The sequence below is a fragment of the Homo sapiens genome, chromosome 9, assembly GCF_000001405.40.
Source record: "Homo sapiens chromosome 9, GRCh38.p14 Primary Assembly".
Lineage (NCBI taxonomy): Eukaryota > Metazoa > Chordata > Mammalia > Primates > Hominidae > Homo > Homo sapiens.
In genome coordinates this window covers 67386227-67395231 of record NC_000009.12, presented here as the reverse complement: position 1 = coordinate 67395231, position 9005 = coordinate 67386227, and positions in this window count along the sequence as shown.

Below are 9005 nucleotides of genomic sequence, written 5' to 3'. Positions count from 1 at the left end.
TGTTCCTTTTTCCCGGGTGCATTCTTAACCTTGTCAAAATAAACCTCTAACATGATTGAGACGCTCCTCAGTCATTTTGTTTGACTGTCAGTGGTGAAGGTTTGTTGCATGAGTCAACTTCTGTCTCACTCTGAGTCTTCTTCTGGCTGCTTTCAGTGCCAACACAAAGTGCTCCCTCTAACTCCTTGACATTTCTTCTGTCATCACTATCTCTAGGATTTCTGTTTATTGCTTTTGTTATGGCCACCGTCAGCTTTCAGGCATGCAAATCCCCAGTTTCTTCTCTATGTGGTTTATATTTAAGGTGAACAAGGGAGTCTCATGGGTCGGAAAGTCACCGTCTGATATGATCCAGACCTTTGGCTGCCCGTGGTTAATGAGTAACCTGGTGAGAAATAGTGGCAATGAGAATGCCATATGAGCTTAATAAAAAGTCTGGGGTGATACACCCAAGGATTTGCTTCTAATTGCATTTACCAGACAGGGCAGTGTTGAGTGCAGACAACTTTAAAAGGAGCAATTACCCAGCCTGCTAAACCTGCTATAGGTAAAGGAGTGTGCTGGGCAAGGTGCCAGCACATTGTATAAAATGATCATTATAGATTAAAGAAACACAGGCATACCTAGGGCCATGGGCATTTGATACATCAGATCTAAAAGAATAATACATATGCTTCAGACCAGTTGTAAGAAAATTTACTTTTCTGTATAGCAGGGTCTAAAGTGCATTTCTAGGAGGCACAGATGCCTCACCAGAAAACTAAAGAAGTTCTGAAAAAAAGCTAATATGATACTTGAGAGCATGTCTGTTTCCATCTCATCTAAGTCACAGGAAGAGGAAACAGCCGCATTTACGAAAGTGTGAATTGGAAGCCCCTGGAAAATGTGACTGGATGGGATGAAACACTTGTGTGACACTTTAATAATGGGTATTGGCTAGCTCCTCATTATTTTCCACTGCAGTAAAGTGCGGCATGCAGCAAGATGTCAGTGTAGCATTTACCTATGCAGTGCCACTCTGCTGCAGAGTTTTAAGGATTGAAGATAAGGAAGTGCTACCCGAAAGCTGGCAAATACACCACACATTGAAAGATAAAGAAAGTTGACTTTTGCTGAGTACCTGCTTTGTGCTAGGCACTGGTTTCCAAATTTTGCTGCACAATGGAATCATCTTGGATCTTTAAAAACTGTTGATGCCTGGTTCCCATGCCTAATATTTTGACTTCATGGATGTTGCGTGCAATGTGGACGCTGTGTTTCTAAAAGCTTCCCACTTCATTCTAATGTGCAGCAGTTTGGGAATCACCCTACCAGACTATTACATTTCTTTTTTTTTTTTTTCCTTCCTTCCTTCCTTCCTTCCTTCCTTCCTTCCTTCCTTCCTTCCTTCCTCCCTCTCTCCCTCCCTCCTTCCTTCCTTCCCTCCTTCCTTTCTTTCTTGATGGAGTTTCGCTCCTGTTGCACAGGCTGGAGTGGAATGGCACAATCTCAGCTCACCACAACCTCCGCCTCCTGGGTTCAAACGATTCTCCTGCCTCAGCCTCCTGAGTAGCTGGGATTACAGGCATATGCCACCATGCCCGGCTAATTTTCTATTTTTAGTAGAGATGGGGTTTCTCCATGTTGGTCAGGCTGGTCTCAAACTCTCGACCTCAGGTGATCTGCCCACCTCAGCCTCCCAAAGTGCTGGGATTACAGGCATGAACCACTGTGCCTGGCCCAAACCATTCCATTTCTACTCATTATCTCACTTAAGCCACAGTGAAGCCTGTTGTTACCGATGAGGTCATAGAGGCTAGATGACCCCAGAAAACTTGCCTAGTTTTGGGTAGTGGAATAGACTAAAATCTGATCCTGTGGCTGTAAAACTCTGAAGCTTGGGTTCTTCTCACTCTTCCACACTGGTAGAATTCATGCACTGTAAGGAAAGAAAGGTTTTCTCTTTAATTTTCCCTGTGCTGGTAGCTAGCAGAGAATTGTAATTCATTTAGTAGAGGAAAAAAACCATATATATACTGGGCTATTTTATTAAGGATTGGGTTTTGGTTAAGATCAGACAATGAAACCTATTATAAATTTCCAAAGATATGCAGGTCAGACCACGCTACACCATGTTTCTGGGAGCCCAGAATGCAGAAACAAACATCAAAGTTCTCTTGTAATTTCATGGAAATATTTCATGTTAAAATTGTATTAATTTCAAAAGGTTAGAGTAGAAAATGAGAAGTATACACTTCATTAATTCTCAAGTTCTACATTTGCCAGAAACTTATCTCACCTTCATTAAAAAAAACTCTTATTACTTGATTTCAGAACACTTATAAAACATACTATGGGCCAGGCAAGGGGGCTCACGCCTGTAATCCCAGCACTTTGGGAGGCCGAGGCCGGCAGATCATGAGGTCGGGTGATCGAGACCATCCTGGCTAACACGGTGAAACCCCGTCTCTACTAAAAATACAAAAAATTAGCCAGGCGTGGTGGTGGGTGCCTGTAATCCCAGCTACTCAGGAGGCTGAGGCAGGAGAATCACTTGAACAAGCGAAAACGCCCGGGCGCTGTGGCTCACACCTGTAATCCCAGCACTTTGGGAGGCGGAGGTCACAAGGTCAGGAGATTTATCGAGAACATTCTGGCTAACACAGTGAAACCCCGTCTCTACTAAAAACACAAAAAATTAGCCGGGTGTGGTGGCGAGCTCCTGTAATCACAGCTACTCAGGCGGCTGAGGCTGGAGAATCGTGTGAACCCAGGAGGCAGAGGTTGCGGTGAGTGGAGATTGCGCCACTGCACTCCAGCCTGGGTGACAGAGCGAGACTCTGTCTCAAAAAAAAGAAAAAAAACTTGTCTTAGGATAAATTCCTGGTAGTGAGATATTAGTTAAAGGAAGATGAAATTTTTATAAATTATATAGCATCTGTATGTTACTTTCTGAATGCACCCATTAGGTTACAAGGTCACAAGTAGCACATGATGCATCCCGTTCTCCACAGGACTGCCAGGAAAGGCTTATCTTTTCAGAGAGATTTTATTAGTAATTAGACATAAAATGGTGCTTTGAACTACTGTAACTTGCATGTCTATGGTTATTAGATAGATAAAATTTTTCCCACTTTTTAAACTATTTACATTATCTCATATGTGATCTTGACAATAGAGTTTTTTCCTTTTGTTTTTTACTGCTCTTGAATTTCCTCCTATTTTTTGAAATAACTTACTTAATATAGAGAGTTGTCTTCATGATGGTAGTATTATTCACAATATTTCCCAACTTCGTTGTGTTCCTTATATAGCTCTAGTCTTCTTATGCAGATATTTTCATTTGTATGCATTTAATTTTTTAAAGAATATCTTCTATTGCTTATAATCTGTGAAAGTTTGTATTTCTTTATCTCTGCTTAGACCTAGTGACTCCCTCATTTTATTATCTGTGAGCTTTTCTCTCCATTAGGTTAGCACAGCCTTCTATAATCTGACCTTATCACACCTTACAGAAGCATCATTTGACACACTTCAACTCAGCACCTCAGATCTATTTGGCCCATCCCTTTTCTTCCACACAAACATACCATGTTCATTTATGCCTTGGGGCATTTGGCCTGTCTTAGATGCCTGCCCATTCTTATTTCCTCTACCCATTCAAAGTCTACCTATCAGGGGGACAGATGCCTTGATTACACTCCTCCCTTTGATTTACTTAGTCACATGAACTCCTATAACCTCCTATAACTTGCATAGTCAATATTTATTTATTTATTTATTTATATTTTTTTTTATTTTTTTGATATGGAGTCTCACTCTGTCACCAGGCTGGAGTGCAGTGGCATGATCTCAGCTCACTGCAAGCTCTGCCTCCCAGGTTCATGCCATTCTCCTGCCTCAGTCTCCCAAGTAGCTGGGACTGCAGGTGCACGCCACCACGCCCAGCTAATTTTTTGTATTTTTAGTAGAGACAGGGTTTCACCATGTTAGCCAGCATGGTCTCGATCTCCTGACCTCGTGATCTGCACGTCTCAGCCTCCCAAAGTGCTGGGATTACAGGTGTGAGCCACTGCGCCTGTCCCATAGTCAATATTTATAATTGGCAATTACCCGTAATTATGTAGTCTCTTGTATGTATTTCAAATGTGTTAGCCTTCTCTTCTTAGACAAACTGTGATAATTAAGACATATTTCAGTGGTCTTTATAGCAGCTCTGATGACTGTTGAAATACATTTTTGAGTACCCTACATACTCACTGCATATTTAATTGGTTAAGAATTAAATAAAGAAGTGAATTTTTATCTGCAACTCAGTGGGTCAGGCCCATTGAACTCCAAGTGTCTCCAAGTCCTCATCACCTGCCTTTGAGTGACATGACTCACTCAAAGGCAGGTGATAAGAAACAAGAAAACTGGAACTCATACTTTCAGAGATTTTCCTGCCTCAGATGTGAAGTCTCTTGGCTACTGGAGTCTGGAAGACGACTTCTAAACTGATTCTGACAGGATTGTAACTTGAAACCCTATTATATTCAGTTTCCCTCACTGGTCTCTTTACCCACTCCACACTAGGTGGTACCAGTACTGAGAACTAATTCCCTTCTAAATTCTAAACTCTAAACTGTGTCCACTTTCATCTCACTTATCCTGCCAGTCCCTCCACTCCCTTTCAAGTTTCCCCCTCAAAGCTTCAATCTGTTCTCTTTGGTTCTGATCGTGTTCATCAGCACTCTCCACATGCTTCAACCCATAACACTCCAACTTTCAAACTGGATCAAAACAACCATGACTTTTCCCGTTCCTGTCCCTGGGCTATAGAGTGTTGCCACAAGAATTCACCCACCAAGTGAGGTTGGTCTCATGATTTACAGCCACGGGAGCAGCTTTGCAGAACTTTCAGCATCCTCTTCCATTTCTCCTATGGCTCTACCAAATCTTCACCACCCCTCAGAAGATTTTGCCTTTCATTCACAAAGAAAATTTGATTATCAGCCAGAAAGTCTCTCCATTGTCATGTTCTAAAACAACCAACCACATCAAGATATTACCCATATTTGCATGCAATCACGCTCACGTTCTTGTCTTCTAACCTGAGAAGGCTTGGAGGGAAAAACCCTTCTGCTCAAAGGCAGTCCATCCTCACATTGTTTACTCAGTCATAATCAAGATGCTGTCCAATTATTAACATCAGTCTTCCCTTTCATATATTTTTAATCTTTTCAATTTATAAACATGATCAACATTTTTTCCTGTGAAGAGAAAAACCAATTCTACATTTCAGACCTTGCTTTCTATCCACCCACTCTCTCCCTCAGCCACGGCCATTACCTCTTCAAGGCCAAACTTCTCCAAAAAAAAAGTCTTCCATCACTTCCTTGTTAGGTCTCCACCCACTTCCTTGGGTCTACGCACTCTTATAAACATTGAAGCCGTCAATTCCTCAGTAGTCAGATCCGAGCTCATCTGACTCTGGAATTTTCAGGTGTTAAGCCTTTCATCTTGTAACCCTGTCTTTCCCTGGCTTCCATGATACCGTTTTTCCACACCCTCTTCTAAGGTCTCTGAATGTGCCTCCTTGGTCTCCATTGCTAACCATTCTTCCTGCCTGCTTCTTGAATGTGATGTCTCTCATGTTCCATCCTTGAGCTTATTTTTCACAATGTATTCTTCTGAGTAATGTAAACCAGTGGTTTCGAATTTTAATGTACATATAAATTATCTGAGAATCTTAAAATGCATATTCTTATTCAATAGGTCTGGGATGAAGGATGAAATCGTGCATTTCAAACAAGCTTTCAAATGATGTCCATGCTCCTGGGCCATACACCACACTTTGAATAGTGAGGATCTAAACTACTTATTGGTCTCAGTTGGCGATAACCCCAAATCTCTGGCCAGTTCTATCTCCTGGGCAAATGCTATACAAATAGTTAAGCACCAAAGACAAACATCTCAAAAACAGATATGCAAAACTGAACTCATTTTCTCTGTTTCCTCAATCAAATAATTTGCAGACATCCCTGTTTTAATAAATGGCATTATGTCCCTTCAGTTATGTAAGTCAGACGTGGAGTTACCCTGAGCTTTTTTTTCACTATCTCTCCTGCCACTCATCCTCTACCTCGATATTCAGTTAATAAGAAAGTACTGGCTGGGCGCGGTGGCTCACGCCTGTAATCCCACCACTTTGGGAGGCCGAGGCGGGTGGATCATGAGGTCAGGAGTTCGAGACCAGCATGGGCAATATGGTGAAACCCCGTCTCTACTAAAAATACAAAAGTTAGCCGGGCGTGGTGGTGTGCGACTGTAGTCCCAGCTGCTCGGGAGGCTGAGGCAGGAGAATTGCTTGAACCCAGGAGACAGAGGTTGCAGTGAGCTGAGATCGTGCCACTGCACTCCAGCCTGGGTGACAGAGCAAGACTCCGTCTCAAAAAAAAAAAAAAAAAAAAGGAAAGTACTGCTTACTCTACCTTCTTAACATCTCTCAAACTCATGGACGACTCTTTATCCCAGGCTACTGCCTTAATTAACAACATCAATATCTATTTTATGAATCATTTACAACAATTTGCAAACTCGTTTTCTTGCCTTTACCATTGCTCCTCTCCAGACTCTCTACATTAGGAATATGTTTTTGAAAAATGAAAGCGTGACAAAGTCACTGTTTCAGGACAGTGTATCCAGCAAGTGATGAAGGAAGGCATCAGGCAAGAGGCACTGGAGCTTGAGTGGGTCATTTTTGGACACATGAACCAAGAGAGGCAGAGGGAGTGTAATGGTTTCCATATCATCCCTGTGGCTCCACAGGACAAACCCCAAAACCCTTAACACAGACCACAAAGCCCTTGAAATCTTCTGTTTGCTAAACCTTCCTTCTTACAACCTAAACTTTTGGCATGCTTAGAGCTCCCAAGGTCCCTGTGCTCATCAGTCAACTCCTCTGTAAAGTGTCTTCTTATTGGCTCTTCTATTGGAATTTGCGCTATCTGCCATACTTCTCCAGCCAATTAGCCTTTTTAACACTGTTGTTATAAAAACTGTGGAAGAGGAAATTAGTACAGAGAAAAGCAACAGGCTAGCAAAAATCAGGGGCTCGGGGAGGAAGTCAGGGGCTCATCTTTCTAACCCCAATTAGAATCAGCACATTTAAGAACACTTGTGAATAGAAACTCTAGATTGCAGCCATTCATTAAAACCCCTTCATTTTACATATGGTAATCTGAGACTTCATAAATGACTTGTAACTTCCAAGATTCCAAATCTAATCAGTCCCACATAGGACTTTTCACCTCCAGTCCCGTGCTCAGGTGTTTCTGTTCTGCCCATCACCCATTACAGAGGAAGTACGTTCATCTGGGGATGCTTTTCTCCAGGAGAGACTTCCCTAAGCCTTTTGACTATGCAGATGCTTTCATGCATCTAGAAATAGTTTATTGCCAGTATAATGCAAATTTTATTTCAGTGTAGAAAATAATTTCTAGACTCTCATGTCACATTACTTTTGGCAGGGGCTATTGTTGGAGAGTTAATCATTCTCTGAAAGTCATTGGTTCTTGGTTCTGTTTCTTTTAAAAGAAGAGAGCTCATTTAACTTAAACATGTAATAACATCCAGAACAGGTTGCTTTTCTGGAAACTGTTAATAGAATCTGCATAGCTAGACAATGATTAACATTATGCAAATCTTTTTTTTTTTTTTTTTTTTGAGGCGGACTCTCGCTGTGTCTCCCAGGGTGGAGTGCAGTGGCGCGATCTTGGCTCACCGCAAGCTCTGCCTCCCAGGTTCATGCCATGCTCCTGCCTCAGCCTCCCAAGTAGCTGGGACCACAGGTGCCCGCCACCACACCCGGCTAATTTTTTTGTTTTTGTATTTTCAGTAGAGACGGGGTTTCACCGTGTTGGCCAGGATGGTCTCAATCTCCCAACCTTGTGATCTGCCCACCTCGGCCTCCCAAAGTGCTGGGATTACAGGCATGAGCCACTGCACCTGGCTGATTATGCAAATCTTAAGCATTATTTCAAAGGTCTTTATCTTGTCTTCTCTTGGATAGACATTAAGAGGTAGACAGGGTTCAAAAAACCTAGTTTACAAAAAGGGAAGTCATCAGAATTCCATGAAGAGATTTTGGGAATGTGCATCTTCAAGCCCTATTCTTGTATTCATATGATCTTGGTATCTGTCTTCAGAAATTGTTCCCACGTGACTCTGATGACCATCATTAGTTAAGAATCACTCCCAGAGAATTTAAAGCTATATTGATCAAAGTGGAGGATCTATGACATGATCTAACCATTGATTTTTGATTCTGTATCAAATCCTTCAGTATCACACTCTATTGACCAATAGAGTTAGGGGCCAAGGGAAAGCTTATCTTTTTGCCTTCAGTAGATTGACTGAAAAATCAACTCACAAAAGGCAGATTAGTGAGATAAATGGCGTATACATTTACTAGGGTATATGAGAGAGAATCACAGAATGATTGCTCCACCACAAATTGGGGTACAGGTGATTATTCACTCTTATTAAGGGAAAGAGAAGTAGGGAAGTGTGAATGATTTTAGAAGGGTAGTAAATAATTTTGGGGGAGATTCAATGGGTTTGAAGAACATACAATGACCTGGGACCAAGTGTGTCGGGCCCACAGAGCAGACAATGGTTTGTGATAAAAGTCTGTCCAGATATGTTGGCAGACTTCAGTCTTTCTTCCTTCAATACGATTTCAGTTAAGGAAAACTCAGGGAGAATACCAGAGGTAATTGTTTTCTTCTATGTTAGTTCCATACTTTAGGCCTATAAAGAAACTTCAGAGAACAACTTTATCTCGTGCTTTGGGAGAGAAAGGAGAGGAGGGAAGGTCAAAGAGACCTTGAAGTGGCCGAGCGTGGTGGCTCACACCTGTAATCCCAGCAGTTTGGGAGGCTGAGGTGGGCGGATCACAAGGTCAGGAGATCGAGACCATCCTGGCTAACACAGTGAAACCCCGTCTCTACTAAAAGTACAAAAAATTAGCCGGGTGCGGTGGC